General features: G+C 48.8%; 1 long non-coding RNA gene across 4 annotated transcripts in view, besides 1 other annotated feature; it reads right to left on the bottom strand.

The window, feature by feature from the left end:
• Window positions 8,571-8,763: a silencer, noted in NCBI's record as "fragment chr20:29556392-29556584 (GRCh37/hg19 assembly coordinates)". NCBI's record gives its function as "represses an EF-1alpha promoter that drives an FKBP-Casp9 reporter gene in an ReSE screen in phorbol 12-myristate 13-acetate-treated (for megakaryocytic differentiation) K562 erythroleukemia cells {active_cell/tissue: K562(+PMA)}" and the evidence as "EXISTENCE:reporter gene assay evidence [ECO:0000049][PMID:32094911]".
• FAM242A (family with sequence similarity 242 member A) overlaps window positions 10,166-18,639 on the bottom strand; it is a 38,665-nt gene continuing 30,191 nt past the window's right edge. For 2 of the 4 annotated variants that reach the window (NR_187587.1, NR_187586.1), the window contains 2 exons: window positions 11,382-11,681; window positions 10,166-10,801 (listed from right to left, as the gene is read on the bottom strand). This is a non-coding gene — a long non-coding RNA (family with sequence similarity 242 member A). Of the gene's footprint in view, window positions 10,802-11,381; window positions 11,682-17,935; window positions 18,115-18,639 lie in introns of those variants that run through there. The other 2 variants (NR_187588.1, NR_187589.1) reach the window with 1 other exon arrangement.

The raw sequence follows: 18,639 nt of genomic DNA on the forward strand, positions 1-18,639 counted from the left end.
AAGACCAGCCTGGCCAACATGGCGAAACCCTGTCTCTACCAAAAATACAAAAAATTAGCCAGATGTGGTGGGATCAGTCTGTAGTCCCAGCTACTCAGGAGGCTAAGGCAGGAGAATCACCTGAACCCAGGAAGCTCAGGTGGCAGTGAGCCAAGATCTCACCACTGAACTCTAGCCTGGGCGAAAGAGTGAGACTCCGTCTCAAAAAAAAAAAAAAAAAAAAAAAAAGGAGTGTTACATTAGTTGTCTATATTGTAGATACACTTGTCAAAATTTAAGCCATAAAACCCTCAGTGTCCCTCACTGTTCCCACCCCCTTAGCCTGGCATACTGGGTCTTTCACAAGCTTGTGTCAACCTCCTCTACAGACTCATCTTTACACTGAGGGACTTGCAGTTTCCAAGTGCTCTGGCCTTGCAGCCTTTGCTCATGCTGTTCTCTTCTGAATGCCCTTTCCTGCTTTACTACTTTGTTCTTGCCCTTCTGGATTCAGCTCCTGGGAGGCCCTGTGGATTGAAGTCAGATGGCTCAAGTAGGCAGCTGGTTAGGACCCAGGAGACAGAAACGTGCCTGGGGAGGACAACACTTTCTTGTCCTGGTTTCTATTCAGCTGCAACTAGAGAAACAGATCACCTGTTTCTTGTTCAAAACTAGGATCAGTGAGAGGAGGGTGGAAAGAGTAAGATCCTCCACAGTGCCCTCCCACCTCCCAGCCTCCACCCACATAGCCTAGCTCCAAGGCAGAAACTTCCCAGCAGAAAAAGGAAAACTGATAAACTCATTCCTTGGTCTGGCTCTGTTAGGATTATCATCTGGTTTCCCCTGCTGGTGTTGGAAGAGCTGTGTTGGTGTAGGCCAGTGCTATCCTGTGACTAGAGGGAAGAAGCTCTGCCTGGGCCTGATTTGGCCACAGCTCCTAGTAATATGCTGAGAAGGAACACAAACTCTAGGCCCAGGTCACCCTCCCCATGCCATCCCACACCTGACTTCTGCGCACCTTGTGAGCAGATCAGATTTGGTGTTGCTTCTTCCACATCATCCTCGCATCCCCTTTCACAGACTCGGATAGATCCCCTCATGGGAACCTATGGATCTATGGCATATCTATAGATATACCACCCCATGGCAACTGTCCTTTCCCCTTCATAGCATACATCACCCTGAATTATAGCTACCTGTTTATGTATGTGTCTTCTGCACCAGGTGGTACTCTCTGATGGGGCAGGGATTGAGTCTGTCTTGTTCACAGTTGCATCTCCAGCACCTGCAACTCTGCCTCGCTCAGAGTAAGTGCTCAATACTTTTTGTTTTTGATTGAATGATAGAATGACGAGTGAACTCTATTTCCCACTAGACTGTGAGCACCATGTTGACAGGGACCATGCCCTGATCATCTTTGGGTCCTTAGGGCCTATATAGTGCTTGCCACATAGGAGGTGCTCAGTAGACACTTATCAATTTGAGTGAATGGACTTCAGTTTCTCCACTTACAATCTGAGTAAGAGGAAGATATTCTTTGCCCTCTCTCCCTCATTCTCCAGCCACATTGGGGGTTGTGGTTGATGCCATGAGGTCGTTCCTGCCTTATTCAACTTCATGTCCAAATCTTCTAATGGCAAAACACAACATGGTGACCAAGTCTCAGAGTCCAGGCATCCCTCCCATAGCCCATAGCCAAGTATGGGAGAAGGGTGCTTCAGGGTCTCTCTCCATTCACTTTAGTCTCCAGCATTAGCCAAGATCCCACTGTCTACCCTGAATTCTTCCTGCTATTGCACAAGGCTTCTTTCATCTTACTGTATTGTCAGGGAAAATATAGCCAAGATTATCTGTTCCTCAACCTGAAGTAAAATATAGATTCTGCCTAATTTTAGAACCGGTGTTAGCCAGCTGTGGTGGCTCACATCTATAATCCCAGCATTGTAGGAGGCCAAGGCAGCAGGGGAATCGCCTGAGTCCAGGAGTTCAAGACCAGCTGGAGCAATATGGCAAAACCCCATCTCTACAAAAAAAGCAAAAAAATTAGCTGGGTGTGGTGGCACACGCCTGTAGTCCCAGCTACTCAGGAGGCTGAGGCAGAGGATCATTTGAACCCGGGAAGTGGAGGTTGCAGTGAGCCAAGATCGTGCCACTGCACTCCAACCTGGGTGACAGAGTACAATCCTGTCTCAAAATAAAAATAAAGAATAAAACCAGTGTTTCCACATCTGGAACTTTCTTTTCAAGTTTATATCACCTCTCCTTCCAAATCAGATCTCCCCTCCTCCAGGAAGTACTCCTTGATTAAGCCAAAAATGTTTTAATTTTCACCACTTGTCCTATTACTCTGCATCCCCACAGCACTTGTAGTTTGTACTTATTCCCTATCCTGTTTAAGTGTGTGTTCATCATCCTAACCATACTGCATAAGCAGGCACTATTTTAAGTAGGCTTCATAGATTATCAGAAATTGACAAGAAAAAATACACACCGAGAAGAAAGTAGAAGAGGATTTTTTCTTTTCTTTTCTTTTTGCTTTATCATAGAATTCCTTGTCTTGGTGCTTACAAGCTGTGTAGCACAATGAGAGGAGAATGTGATTTCTGCAAAACATTTCAGGAAGCACAAAGTATCTGTAAATACCCAGGAATAATGACCATGTATTTTATTTGTATTATTTTTCTAATTCCTCCACTATATAGTGTTTGCCCAAAGTCCTTGATTTAAGCCCTTGAGTGTTGGTTGGCTGACTTAGCTTTGGATTGTGGTCCACTGAGATCGCTGGATCTTTTTAAGCTTTAGAGTTATGCCCTGCCATGTGGATGCAGGTGGAGGAAGGACTTCTCAGTGTGACCCATGAGAGGAGTGGCTTTCCTGGGCCCCAGGCCCCAGGCTGCATGTGTATGGGAGGGAGGAGGAGAAGCAAGGAAAGGAGGAGAGACAGAAGTATATACTGAGCTGGTAGTTGGGGGAAGGGTTGGCGGGTGGGGAGAAAGGAAGAGAGGAGTCTGGGCCAAGGCAGAGGTGTCTCCCTAGGGAGTCCTCAGAGCGGGCAGCCGGACGTCGCTCCATCCTTCCCGCCAGATGGATGGGTCTGCTGCGCAGGCACAAGCTGTCGGGCCAGGCCCTGCCAAGGCAGAACAGTGGCGCTTCTGTGCGCACTGCTCCGATCCGCTCCGGAGGATGGGGCCCGCCCGGGAAGCCAGGGAGTGATGGAGAAAGCAGATGTCCCAGAACAGGAGCCGCGGGGTCACAGAAGCACGCCTGCCTCCCGAAACAAGGAGCCACAGGATGAGGTGGGAGGGGACCGGGAATCAACGCGGGGGAGCGTTTGGGGGAAGTGTTGGTCGAAAGAAGAGAGGCAGAAGGACGCGCGCTGAAGGAGCCTGGGGATGAAGAGCTCGATGATTTGGCCACAAGCCCCCTCACCTTTAAGAACAAAGCTTCCTGCCTTCAGTTGCAGAGTTTTGTTTCGCGGTCAGATGCTCAGAGACCTTCCAACCTGTCCCCCACCCCTCAGCCTTGCCCATCTCCACGGGCTCGGAGACCACCACCCTCCGCCTCCGCCTGGCCTGGCCCGGCCCGCGAGATCCCTGACGCTCCAGTTCGGAATCTGGGATCCGCAGGCTCCCAGATCCGCCGCTGGCCCGGCTCCCACCCGCCCGTCAGCCGCCTCCCCCTCAGCGTTAATTAAAACTTGCGAGATGGAGAGGCTGGCGCGGGCGGCTCCGTTTAATTTGCAGCATCTTTCATGCTGCTGACGATCGTAAAGGGCTTTCATATTGAAATATGGGCCATTTTCCCAGCTCCAGCCCTCGCCGCGGCTCCCCGCACCCCCACACCCAGCCACCCCGCGCTTGATGAAAGAGCCCCTACAAATCCATTAAGGAGAGATAATTGAAAACTCTGGGGTAATATTTAAGACCGTGTGCCGACGCGGGGTGGAGGGCCTGACTGCGCCCGCTTTGCCCGTCAGTGCTGGTGCGTGCCAGTCCCTAGCGCTCTAGGCCCACCAAGGCCCCGCGGACGCCCAGCCAAGGCCCGCCATCTTAGCGGTGCCTCCTCACTCCCTGCACTCAAAGGGCTGGCTCTGCGCTAATCTGGCTCTGCTGAAGACTTGCCTGGAGACCTGAGTTCCAAAAGGAGCCACAGGGCATGCTGTGTGACAGATGCATTAGGGCCAGCATGCACGGGGGCCAAAGCATCTTGTCCCACTCCTTCAGCTTCGGTTTGGTGCACCAGCATCAGGCACTGCTCAAGCTTCTGAGCACAGCATCCCCTCTGCCTGCAAACTTTGCCCTCCAGCACTTTCTACTTGGGGAATTGCTGTTCCTCTTTCAAAACCACCCCAGTTCCACCCCAAGTAATGGCGCAGTGGGGTATGGAACGTGGGTGGGAGTATAGACACTCCAAGATCCTGGTGTGACCATTGTTGCAGCTGCATGATGAGGACACTATACTGCTCTGTTTTCATATGTTTTTAATGTTCCACGACAAACATGTTTAGAAAGCAGCTGAAGCATCTTCTTTTACGCCTCCCTCTCCCATAAATACAGACTACCTGTTATCTTGTACATTGATGTTCCTTAGCACATCGTGTTGCCATTATCTGTTTAAAGTCTTTCTGCCTACTCAGCTGTGACATCTTCAGGACAGGGATCAGGTCTAAATTCACTCCTTAGCCCTTGCTCCAGGCCCAGTGCAAGGCACATAACATGCGCTCAGTAAACATCACTGAATAGGCTGCTCTCTGGGTACCTAGAAGTCTCTAGGGCTTAAGGTTAGGATATAAGCACACGGAAGGAGGGTAGGGCAAAGCATGGAAGAGGGGTGCTGTCTGTGAGGCTGGGTTGGGGTCATGTCTCTCTCCCACAATGACTGGCTTCAGGATGTTCCCAGAATGGGAAAAGGGTAGAGGACCCTGTTCTGCACTGTGATTTAGGAATCCTTAGGTCTCTACCTGGGACTTTTGGGGATGTTTCTCCACTTCACTCCATTTGGCTTACTCTCCCAATCAGGTTAGACACACACACACACACACACACACCAACACCACACACCTTAGACAGGGAAAGAGTGGGAAAGAGGGAAGCAGAAGAGATTATTTGAAGACCTACTTGTGCAAAAGGCATGAGTAGTTCAGGCATTGCCATGGATACCCAGCTAACCCCCTACCACAGGGCCTTTCCTACTTACCCCTGTTGCACAGTCTTCCCCAACACTGTGTCCAGCACCCATACAGGAGTTATACTCACAGGATGGCACTATCAAGGAAGAGGGGGCTGTATTGACTCAGCCCCCCCAACCGCACATTGGCCCTGAAGCCACAGTTGCAATGATGCCCTCTCTATGGCCAGAATGAGATCCAAACCATTCCAAAGTTCCATTTCCAAACAAGGACTCCTCGTTAGAACCACAAAACATCAGAGCTGGAGGCAACCAAAACAGCACTGTGTCCCCTCTTAGTATCTATGGGGCAACTAAGACTTAGAAAGGGCCTGTGATGTGCCCCAGGTCACAAAGCCATTGGTAACTGGGCGGGTAGGGTGGCTCACGCTTGAAATCCTAGCACTTTGGGCGGCCAAGGCGGGTGGATCATTTGATGTCAGGAGTTCGAGACCAGCCTGGACAACGTGGCGAAACCCTGTCTCTACTAAAAATACAAAAATTAGTGGGCAGTAGTGGAGTGCGCCTGTAATCCCAGCTACTCAGGGGGCTGAGGCAGGGGAATTGCTTGAGCCTGGGAGGCAGAGGTTGCAGCGAGTTGAGATCATACCACTGCACTCCAGTCTGGGCGACAGAGTGCGACCCTGTCTCAGGAAAAAAAAAAAAAAAAAAAAGCCATTGGTAACAAAACCAGTGCTAGTGCTAGAATCCCAGCAAGTTAGTGGTGGAGCTGGAATTAGAATCCCAATCTCTTGACCCACTTAAATATATACATTTGATATTCGAAGTGCTTTTCACAAACATTATCTCATTTAATTCTCTCTCTCTCTCGATAGGATCTCACTCTGTCACCCAGGCTGGAGTGCAGTGACATGATCATGGCCCACTGCAGTCTCAAGCTCCTGGGCTCAAGCAATGCTCCCACATCAGCCTCAGGCACATGCCACCACACCTGGCTAATTTTTGTATTTTTGTAGAGACAGGGTTTCAGCATGTTGCCTAGGCTGGTCTTGAACTCCTGGGCTCAAGAAATCCTCCTACATTGGCCTCCCAGAGTGCTGAGATTACAGGCATGAGCCACCGTACCTGGTCTCATTTAATTCTCACAAACCTATGAGATAGCGTCACAATTCCCATCGACAGATGAGAAAAATGAGGCTCAGGGAGAGCCATGATTTGTCCAGTGTCATACATGGGTGGAAAACAGATCCAGGATTTGAACCCCAGTTTGACTGGGTCCAATTCCAGTGCCCTTTCCACTCACTTCTCCAGTATCTCCCCCTAAACCCCACCCAGCCAAGTCAGGCCAGTTTCCCAGACACTCACCCTTCATCCCTGGACATCTCCAGCCAGAGGTCTTTTTTCTCCTTAGCCCAGCTTCCCCCACCCAGGGCAATGTTCTTTGCCCCAGATTTGGAGGTGGGGGTGTGGTAGTCCCCACCGTGGTTCTGGGTACAGGCCTCTATGAACTGAAGCCATGCACAGCCTGGCATCCTGTGTGCAGCCCTACTCCTGTTCGTGGCCACGGAGGCCTCAGCCATAAATCCCCAGGTCTTGGCTCATAACCATTAGCAAGCGATTGGGTTCATCAGGACGCCTTTATGAGACTGGAGTCAAATAAATGGATTGCCGGAGATCAGGAACAAGGGATCTCCTTGTCTTGCCTTGCTTCCAAGTTGCTCCCGCAACCCAGAGGTTGGCAGATTCTGTTTGACTCACAGCTGTAGGTGGAAGTGGGGGCATTGTCACAGTGGGATAAAGATGTACAGTATCCCCTGGTACTCCACACCCATGGAAGGAAAAGCGCTTGGAGATGCACATCCTCAGATAGCCCACAGTCATTAGGGCTGGAGGAACACACACACAGAGGCACATATACACACTCAGACCCCCATCTCTGATTCAAATCCACTCTTCAGCAACCAACCCCCCAACCCCACCCACCTCACATCCTCTGATGTCCTCACACTCCATTCCTCCTGTGAGGTATTTCCTGAAACACTGCTTCTCAAACACCACTGTGCATACAAATGACCTGGGACGTGGTTAAAATACACATTCTGACTCAGTAGATCTGGGGTGGCACCTGAGCTCTGTTTTCTAACCAGCTTCCAGGTAAGGCCAGGGTTGCTTCTCCAAAGATTTTAAGCAATGGTCCTCCCACATTGGAAGGGTAGGGGCTTTCAAAATGTAAAAGAGATAGGAATGTGCAGTTTGGAAAAGCTCCCCTCCCACTCCCATCCCCCAAATGCTGCTGTGCACACCCAGGTGACTGAACTGTTTCTAGAATGCTGTTACCTCACTCTTTACATGGCTCCCTCTCATTCTTCAAACCTCAGCCCAAGTGTCACTTCCTCAGAGAAACTTTCTCTGACCACCCAATTTATTTTATTTTACTTTATTTTATTTTATTTTATTTTATTTTTTTGAGCCGGAGTTTTGCTCTTATTGCCCAGGCTGGAGTGCAATGGCACGATCTCGGCTCATGGCAATCTCTGCCTCTCGGGTTCAAGCGATTCTCCTGCCTCAGCCTCTCAAGTAGCTGGGATTACAGGCATGTGCCACCACGTCTGGCTAATTTTTGTATTTTTAGTAGAGACAGGGTTTCTCCATGTTGGTGAGGCTGGTCTCAAACTCCTGACTTCAGGTGATCCGCCCGCCCCAGCCTTCCAAAGTGCTGGGATTACAGGCATGAGCCACTATGCCTAGCTGACCACCCAATTTAAAGGGTCCCTGCTCCACCCTGTCTGTGATTACCCACTTCACAACAGGTCTCAAAATTGCATGTATCTATTTGCTAACTTGCTTACTTATTTTTTTGTCTGTTTCACTCTCTGAAATGTGTGGTCCTTGAGTTCAGGGATTATGCCTGTTCCATTTATTCATGAATTCTTGGCAACCGGTGCCTAGTGCATAGTACATACTCAGTAAATACTGCTGGATAGGCCAGTCACAGTGGCTCATGCCTGTAATCCCAGCACTTTGGGAGGCTGAGGCAGGCAGATCATTTGAAGTCAGGAGTTCGAGACCAGCCTGGCAAACGTGGTGAAACCTCGTCTCTACTAAAAATACAAAAATTAGCTGGGCATGGTGGCACAAGCCTGTAATCCCAGCTACTCTGGAGGCTGAGGCAGGAGAATCACTTGAACCTGGGAGACACAGGTTGCAGTGATCCAAGACTGCCACTGCACTCCCACCTGGGTGACAGAGGGAGCCTCTGTCTCAAGAAAAATAAAAAATAAAAATAAAAATAAAAAAATAAAAGACCATCTGAAAGAGTATCTGAATCCAGCACTGAGGCCATAGGTAATCTGAGAAAGTATCTTGGAGGAAGGAAAATGGGAGGAAAAGAACATTGTGTGAAGGACTTAAGAAAGGTGACTCAAGGGAAGTGGGGAGGCAAGGGTATCCAGATAAGATTGGCCCCATTGGTCCTGGGTTGATATGACAGGGTTGAGGAAGGGTCCTGGAGGGAGAGATCCTGCGGGTAGCAGCAGATGCCGCAGGGTCTCGGAAACCATGGCAGGCACTAAGAAGATATGTGGGCTTCCCTCCACCTCATGGACAAGGACCTTCATTTATTCATTCTTTCCTACACTTGACAAATTCTTACTGAGATCTTATTAGGCGCCAGGCACTGTGCTGGGTGCTGAATATTCAGGAATGAGCACAATGGGTCTGGTTTCTACCCTCCTAGAGATTACAGTCCAGTGGGAGAGACTGACAGTAAACATATTAATATGTTACAGTTGGGCCAAGTCCACAAAGGATAGGGTATGATAACAGGTATGATGGGCGGTTCCCTAGGGAGAAGTTTCCCTAGGGAGTGACAGTCACCCAGAGTGCTGATGGGTGGAGGTCTTCCTTGCCAGCCCCCTGCTAAGCTTTCATCCTGGACATTCCTGCATTCCTCTGCACTGTCCCTTTAAGAGGAGCATCTCTTCCCTGAGCAAAGGTGGTTCGGGCACACAGCCTGAGCCTGCCAAGGTTGTGGGCCATAAATCAATGCTGGCACTCCCTTGGCAGTGGGCTCTCCTCTGAGCTGCCCAGATGGCAGGCAAGCCTGGGGCTCCAGGGGCAGCCAGGCACTCAGGAGGGGGGAGGTGGGAAAGGTGGGGACACAGTTGGGCCCCAGGCTCCTGATGGCAGCTGCCCACTTCTGTCTAAGGGCCCTAGGCCAGGGAAAATGCCAAAGTCCTTCTATTCTAGTCCCACGTACCTTCTGACTCCCAAGTCAGTCTGGCATGGGGCTGTTGGGATTATTGTTCCCACCCCAGCCAGGGACCAGGGCCTCATAGGCATCCTCTGAGACCAAGGGTCTTGGATGACCTCTTGGGATCACAGTCTGCTCTAACATTCAACCTGAAAGTTCTGCCTGTGGTTTGACCTTCTTTCCTCTTGCTGTAGCTGAGGTGTCTTCTTTTACCCTGCATGAAAGATGAAAGACAGTAGCTCCCCATTTAGTGGGGGCTTTGGGACTGTGTGATATCTCCCTCTGCCTTCACTTTAAGCCTCCCAGAAAAGCAGGATAAAAAGATGCTTCAAGGTCAGTTGGAGAGATGGAACCCTGCCCTCTTGGGGGTTGCCATCCCTCTGCCACCCTCACAGGTGCTGTGACAGAGGGAACATATGTTGCTCCTACCCCAGAGGACAGAGACAACATCTTAACAGCCACAGCCCCACAGAGCTGGGCTCAGCAGGCCTTGACAGAACTGGAAAGGCAGCCTCTCTCCTGGGCCTGGGCCTGGCCTGAGTCTGGGTTGTGGGCGGAAGGGTAGAAGCAAAGCCTGTAGACCCCTCCCAGAAAGGAATCAATAGGCTGGACTGCTCTCCCCACGCTCACTCCCAAACAGTAGAACAGTGGAAAATTCATGGGTTCCAGAACAATAGAGATTTCCTTGGATGTCCTTGTCCTCAGATTCTCTGTGAGAAGTCAGAGTTTACAAGTCCTTAGAGATTCTTTCTCACACGCTCATCATACAGATGAGGAAACTGAGATGCAGAGAAGTTCACCCAGGTCTTTTTCAGGTTGTTTTTACTACACCACATTTGCCACATGAACAGAAACTCCCAGAGTTATCACTAAGCAGGATGTATTAGACTCTAAAGGTAGTAGCATAGATGGAGGTTAGATAACAAGTAGAACTTTCTCAGAATAGTAGGTCACAGAAGAAGATGAGAAGCAAAGTAAAGAAAGTGCATTCTCTAAAACAGTAGGGTGGGGGTGGGAGGGATGGAGCCAAAGAATCAGGATAAAATTTTGCAAAAAGATAGAAATATAGAGAACACAGGAAAGGGAGCTGGCATAGAGCCCAGAGCAAGGACAACTGGGGTGTGGAGCTTCTGGGGTTCTTCATTCAGGACCCCTAGATTTCATCTGTCCCAGGCTTCTGGGTATCAGCAGTAGTTTAAAGTCAGACCTTATCTGGGCTGATTCTCTTGGCTTTCTCCTTGTTTTCCTGGGATGGCTTATCTGGCTGCCAGAGTCATTTGCCTTCTCTAATTTGTGTTTAAATTAAAGTTCCCACAAACAGAGGTTTAATGTGCTGTTACCAAGAACTCCCAGGCCCCCTGCAGCTCTGGGAAGTTGAAGGGGCTGGGGAGAAGAGGTCAGTCTGTGCGCATCCCATCGAAGCTGATCCCACTGGCATTGGACCTGGAGTGGATAACCCAAATAAGTGTCTCCGTCCTTGCTGCTCCATCCAGAATGGTGATGACAAGGGGCAGGGCAGGGAAAAGCATGCTCACAAAGGGCCTGGGGCCAACATGCTTGTTCAGGGGCTCCTGGGTGGCTGTTCATCCTTTTTCAGGATGGTGAGGAGAAGGCAGGGGAGGTGGGCAATGAGAAGAGGGCAGGGGGTGGAAAATAAGGAGAGAGCAGGAGGCTCCATTCTTTAACACTTGTGTATGGCGCTCACTGTGTGCTAGCACTGTTCCTGGGCACCTCATAACTACAAATTCAACCTACTACACAACCTGTAAGGCAGGTGTTATTAACATTAGCCCCATTTTTATAGATGGGGAAACAGAGGTATGCCCAGTATCACACAGCTACTAAGATGCAGATACAAGGAGTCAAGCCAGTGCCGTTTAGCTCCAGATTCCCAGTGCTATGTTGACACTTAAGCCAAAATTTATCTGTCACCCTCCCAATCTCTTGATCACAAGGTGAGGCTTCTCTTTGCCAGAGCAACTGAGACAAAGTGAAACTCCCATCCTGCTCCCCAGAACTTTACCTCTCTTGGCCGCAGTCTTCTCATCTGTAAAATGAGGATAAGATACTAGGAGGGGTTGAGGGTCCGGGAAGGTTTAATGAGACAGCTTGTCAGTGACCAGCACAGGGTAGGTCCCCAGCAGTGGCTGCTTCCTTCTCTGTAGTCTAACCATGAGCCTTCCTGCTGTGCCTTCCTGCGCTGCCTCTTAACTTTGCTTTCAAAGGAGCTAGCGGCAGTGATCCTCGCCCCTTAAAGAAAACCCTCAGGAGAGCGTTGTTCCTCATTCATTTGTCCAAATTCTCTCTCTTCCTCTGGGAAACCCTGAAAAAGAGGGATAATAGAGCTGAACTGGAGCCCCAACCTGCTCTGTCCCCACCTCCTCTGCACCCAGGTGAGCCAGTCAGGGTGGCAACAGAAAATAAATGACACATTCGAAAGGGTTTCACTGAAGGGTTTAGTGATGTGACAGTTTCTAAAGGCATAGATCAGATGAAGAAAACTAATAAGGGCTAGTGTGGCACCAGGATAGAAATATCTCTACCAAAGCCCGATGCCAACTGGGGTCATGGGACACAGGAGAGAGGCCACTCAGCAAAGCTGTGACCATGGAGGAACCACAACCACCACCAGAGCTTCAGGCAGGCAAAAAGGGGGGCTGACAGGGAATGGGGGAAACAAATACCCTGACTCCTCTCTCCCCGTTCTCAGCTGGGACCTCTATTGGCCGAGAGATCAGGGGGCCCAGGTGACACAGTCTGCAGAGGTCAGCCTCCCTGGGCAGAGCAGCACAGAGAACACAGTGGGGCAAACAGAAAACCATCCCCATCCCATCCCACCCGCGAGTCCCTGCTCTGATACCAAAGCCTTCTCTCTGCTGCTTTATTGCCACCTCTATCACTACCTGCAGCCAAACAGTGACTGACAGGGAAAGAGAGTCAAGACTCCTTCAACGCAAACACTCCAGCTCACAAGGAAGGTGGGATCCAGGCAGAGGGCAGCTTGAGGGAAGAGGGCTGTGTCTGAAGGGCAGCAGGGCAGGGACTGCCCACTCCCAGCATGGAGAGACAAAGAGAAGGACCGCACTGGGGGTGAGGATGTCAAACGGCGATAGTAAATGACTCTCTTTCCTCAGCATATGATACAAATCACTGTGCATCTTCCTTCCTCCTCCCCTCTCTAGACCGGGAGCCCCTGTGGGGAAGGGATTTTGTCTTGTTCACCCTTGACATCTAGCACAGTGCCTCTTAGGGGCATAATCAGAATTTATTGAATAAATAAGCAAATAGATATGTAAACGAATGAACAAACCCATTTGCAGCTCATATGCACAGCCCTGGGCCCTGGTCAGGGAGCACTGTTGAATGAATGACATGCAGCATTCCTACAGTAGTTTTATTTCAATCGGTTCCATCATTTACCACTTCAGGTTTCCTTTCAGCCACTCAGTCATGGGCCACACAGCCCACGTTTGTCTCCACGCTGGCCAGAGGCTGTGCTTTGATAGCACCCACTCAAATGTGCAGTGACCTCATCAGGCTCCTCCTGATGGAGGAATAAGGGGAGTAGCAAGTGACTTCCTTTCTCACAGCAGCCTTTCTGTGAGCTCTCTATTGAGAGAAATCTTGATCCATGGCAAACCGTCTGTGGTATTCTCGGCTGTAGCCCTTGGCGGGAGATGGGAGGAGGGAATGACAGTGCCAAGGAGGCAGCTGAAGGATCGTCACCCTGGGAGCCACAGCTCTGGCTTCCTTTTGCCAATGGGCCATAAAGACTGAGGGAGGCAGGTGGAAGCAGGGGCACCAGACTAACAAACTAGAGTTTCAAGTGTAGTCCCCATGCAAAGCCCACCTGGCGAAGTGGTTAGACACAGATGCTGGGGCTGGGCTCAAGATCCCTGTTCTACCACCTGCTGGCTGTACAACCTTGGGCAAGATACTTGATTACCATGCCTCAGTTTCCACATCTTAAAAAATGTGAATAACAGTAATGCCTACTTCACATGGTGGTGAAAAAGTAGATGAGTTAATAGTTATGAGATACAGCCAGGCCTGGTGGCATGGGCCCATAGTCCTAGCTACTCAGAAGGCTGAGGTGGAAAGATTGCTTGAACCCAGGAGTTCAAGACCAGCCTGGGTAACATAGCAAGACCGCTCCCTCCTTTATTTTTTTGAGATGGAGTTTCACTCTTGTTGCCCAGGCTGGAGTGCAATGGCATGATCTCAGCTCACTGCAACCTCCACCTCCTGGGTTCAAGTGATTCTCTTGCCTCAGTCTCCGGATTCCAGGGATGAACCACCACACCCAGCTAATTTTTGTGTTTTGCATTTTTAGTAGAGACAGGGTTTCACCGTGTTGGTCAGGCTGGCCTCAAACTCCTGACCTCAGGTGATCTGTCCACCTCAGCCTCCCAAAGTGCTGGGATTACATGTGTGAGCCACTGCGCCTGGCTGCAAGACACCCATCTCTCTAAAAATGAAAGTTTTGAACTATTTAGGAGAGTACATGATCCATGGTAAGCTCTATATAAATTTTGTTACATAAAATTAAGGTTCTAGTCCCATAAACCTTTTCTGTAATAAGCTGCTCAGCCTTAGATACCTCTCATATTTGCTGTGAGAAGTGAACAAATGCATGTGAAAACTGTAATGTGTTTATAATTTTTATTATTTGTCATCAAGATCATGTAAGAGACCTGATTTAGTAGAGGGTGAAGGGATGCAAAAGGGGCTGTCAGTCATCAACTTTTGATTATCTGCCTTGTTAAGGTCCCCTTCTTGTCAACATCATCAGCTCTTTGGCTTGTTCAAGTCTTTTGTTGACAATATCCAGGCTTCTCATGGTCCCTCCCACACACAACGGGCACACAGCAAGGGCTGGAAGGAAAAAGCCTTTGAAAGCAAAACGGGTCCTTCCCTTCCTTAGCCTTGAAGCGGGAATAACCACTAGACAGAAGGCTGTGAGGGAGTACTCTGGCACTTTCACTGTGGCTGCTTTGCCTTTGGGCAGGAGGGGAAACTGATCAGCTCCCTCTGTGGTAAGGCTGCAGGAAGAGATATTGGCATTTGTTATGAAGTGCTAGGAATAAAAACACATACATGGCCGGGTGCAGTGGCTCACGCCTGTGGTCCCAGCACTTTGGGAGATAGGAGCAGGCGGATCACAAGGTCAAGAATTTGGGACCAGGCTGGCCAACATGGCGAAACCGTGTCTCTACTAAAAATACAAAAATTAGCCAGGTGTGGTGGCGGCCACCCGTAATCCCAGCTACTCAGGAGGCTGAGGCAGGAGAATCACTTGAACCCAGGAGGTGGAGTTTGCATTGAGCTGAAATCATGCCATTGCACTCCAGCCTGGGCAACAAGAGCAAAACTCCATCCCCCCAAAAAAACAAACAACAACAACAACAAAAAAAACAGAAAACAAAAAACAACAACAAAAAAAACCCATACACACATACTTATCCCAGTGTCCAGAGCAAATGTTCTGCCACTTGCTGCTATGGGTGTGATTTCAGATAGCTACTTTAACCTGAGTTTTGGTTTTTCTCATCTTCAAAATGGAAATATTGATGCCTAATTCAAAGGGTGAAAATTAATGAACTATAGAAACCCCTTGGTGTATGTCTGGTCCAATAAATGGTAGCTCTTATTAGCTAACATTTTGTAATATCTGCCCACTATCTCCTCCAAGGGATGGAGAAGTAATGCTGACTTCCAGACTAGGAAAGGTAGTGGTAGCAGAAAGTGATTTACAACTCTGACTTTTTTCACATTTTCTTTCCAGAGCACATAGTAAGTTCTTGTTGGTTCATTCATTCATTGAACAGTGTTTAGAAGTTTGAACAAGCTTGAACAACTTGCCATCATTTTGTTCACTTGTATTCATCTTACTCTCACCACTAGAACTGCAAGGTCCATGAGGGCAGAGGCAGTGTCTGTTGCTGGGTGAGTGACTGGATTGACCTCAAAGCATGTCTGAAGACTGAAATGGTCCAGGCAAGGAGATGGAAACTGGAGGCCTGGATTCTGGGCTCAGTCATACCTCCAAGAACATAACTTTCCCTAGAACCTGGAGCCTTCACAGACCTTCCTTCCACTGTGAGGCACTGGAGAATCACTTGAGACCAGACTCAGGGAACTCTTCCCTCATGGGAAGACATTCATTCATCCACTCCATGTCTTTGAAGCCCCAAGAGAAGGATCTGAATCCCCTAGTCTGAAGAGTCAGCAAGTTTCCAACATAGCTATCATGATAAAAAGGGAGAATTGATAAAGGAGGGAGCAGCCCCACCTCAGTAACAATAGAGGGAGGAAAATTCCAGCTAGTACATGTACTTAATATGAAAGCAGACATGTGCCAAGACCCTGCTTTCATGGATATTAGGTGTACCCAAATATAAGAAACACCAATTCTTGCCCACAGGCCTCACTGGATACTATCCAAGATGTCTAGAGAATGAGAGGAAAGAGAGAATAATAATATCCAAAAGGTGGAAACAACCCAAATGTTCACCAATAGATGAACGGATAAACAAAGTGTGATATACCCATACAATGGAATATTAGTCAGCCTTGAAAAGGAATGAAGTACTGATAAATGCTACAACATGGATGAACCTTGAAAACACTATGCTCAATGAAAGAAGCTAGTCACAGTAGGTCTCTTATTATATGATGCCATTCATATGAAAGTCCAGAATAGGGAAATCTACAGAGACTGAAAGTACATTAGTGTTGTTAAGGGCAAGAAGGAATATGGGGGGATAGGGAGGTGATAGCTAAAGGTTACAAGATTTCTTTTTGAGGTGATGAAAATGTTCTAAAATTAACTATGATGATGGTTTGACACACCTGTGAATATACTAAAATCATTGAATTGTACATTTCAAATGGTGAATTGTATGACACATGAATTATACCTCAAGAAAGTTGTTTTTTAAAAAGACAGCATAAGGGGTAGGGGGAAGTTGAGATGAAGCAGGAAAACTGTGATCAGAAACAAAGCTCAGGGGCTGTCTAGCCTGGCTGCCCCAAGTCGAAGCCTGCATTTCATACAGGCAATGTTAGGGTAGCCCCCAAGCCACGATTCGGAAAGATAAATTGACCCCAGAAGGTATAGGGCTGGGTCCCTTCTCCCCTGACAGCTCCCTTTCTGTGTTTTTACTGGCACAAGAAACTCTGTCATCTTGTATAAATAGGAGAAATTTATGGCAGTTTTCCCTCTTCTTCTCCCTGGTGGGCTACTAGGAAAGGTCCAGGGGGAGGAGGGAGCCTGAAATTCCAAAAATATAAATGTGGAAAGACTGGAGGGTGTCGAGGAGTCTCTTTGCCTGCCTTGGCTCTGGCCCCAGCTCTCCTTTCCCTTTGCATGTTTGACCATCTGGGTGATGCGGAGGGCAGAGAACTGGTGCAGCCCATTCTCTCTGCAAGCCCAAAAGAGATGGGTCCCAAATCTGATATCCAACAGGAGGGGCACAAGGGAAATCAAGGAAATAGGCTTGGCTGTCCCATGAAATTATTGGAGGAGACACAGACCACTGCCCTCCTTCCTGGATTTGGCTATTTTTGTACTTCCTTATTTGTTGAGGCAGCCTGATACAGTGGGAAGAGAACTCGTCCTAGATTTAGAAAGATTGACAGAGAAACTAAGTGTGTGACCTTAAGCAAGTCATATCTTCTCTCCAGGCCTCACCTGTAAAAAGAGGGAGGGGACTGAATTTATCAGGGGTTTTCACATGAGTTTAACTCTGGGGTCCTTCCTTCAAATAAAACCATATATAGTGACCCAACATGAACACGAGTAGTAGCCTGCTGAGCTTCTTGAAGGTAAGAATGGGAGTCTCAGGACCCTGTGGTGACTGGCGAGAGGCTTGTCCAAGCACAAGATGATCTCCATGGCTTTTCCAGCCCTGTCCTCAGGAGGGATTTGCCCCCATGGTGAAGAGGCTCAGTTCTGCACACCCAGTGGGCTTGAAATCCAGCTCCACCCCCTCCTGTGTGTCCCTCAGCACATAACTTACCTTCCTTGAACCTGTTTCCTCGTGTATAAACTGGAATAATAGTAACACGTATCTCAGAGGATTGTCACATAGATTACACTAAATAATGTGCATACAGTCCTTCGCATACTATCTGGCCCAATAAATATCATTATAGTTATTCCGTGATCTGATGTAATCAGTTTTTTGTTTTGAGACAGAATCTCATTTTGTAGTCCAGACTGGTGCACAGTGGCATGATCTCAGTTCACTGCAACCTCCGCCTCCTGGGTTCAAGCAATTATCCTGTCTCAGCCTGCCAAGTAGCTGGGATTACAGGAGTGTGCCACTGTGTCCAGCTAATTTTTGTATTTTTTAGTAGAGATGGGGTTTTACCATGTTGGCCAGACTGGTCTCGAACTCCTGGCCTCAAGTGATCCGCCTGCCTCAGCCCCGCACAGTGCTGGGATTACAGGCACGAGCCATCGCACCTGGCCTGATATAATCTTTTTAATTTGAAATATCTGGTGTGAGAAGGTGAATTAGAAAGGATGACAGCAAAACTGCTATAACACAAAGGCCCCAAAACACAGTAGCATATAGAAAACAGAAGTTTATTTCTCTCTTAGTCTGGGAGGAAGCGGTTCCAGACAGCAGGCAGCTCTGTTCCTCCTAGTCAGTCAGGGACGTGTGTTCCTTTCATACCTTTGCTTTGTCTTCTCTTAGGGATATCTTTTCAGTTGCCTGGTCAAACCTGTCTCAGGCACATCTGCCCAGCTCATGAAAGAGAGAACACAAAGGAGAATTTACCCAATGCCGTCAGGCTTTGAGGACATGCTCTCCTCACATTTCCCTGTGTCTACACCTGGCAACAAGACAGCTGGGAAATGGAGTGTCCAGCTGGGTGTCTCTCCACCCTCGGGCAGCAAGGAAAGAAGAGATTTTAGTGGACAATGGGCAGTCTTAATCCAGGGCTCAAACCCACACCTGAGCTGTCCTCTTCCTCTTCTCTTCCCAAAGGAAGGGAAATAAAGTCTACAGCCCAGAAAACAATGTGACCACCCATCCCCTACCCAATCAGGTCCCTGCCATTCATCCCAAGATCAGCTGTTTCCGGAAAGTGGCTTGGAAGCCTCCGTCCAGAAAGACCACCGTTCGGTCCATCTTCTTCACATGGGTGGATGTGAGAAAAGTTTCTGTCCCCACTGCCTGCCTGCCACTCCCTGTCTCAGTTTCAGCTCATGCTCTAGCCCTTTGTTCCCAGTCACCAAGAGTGACTACAAATATGAGGGAACAGGAGGA

Source organism: Homo sapiens, chromosome 20, assembly GCF_000001405.40.
Source record: "Homo sapiens chromosome 20, GRCh38.p14 Primary Assembly".
NCBI lineage: Eukaryota > Metazoa > Chordata > Mammalia > Primates > Hominidae > Homo > Homo sapiens.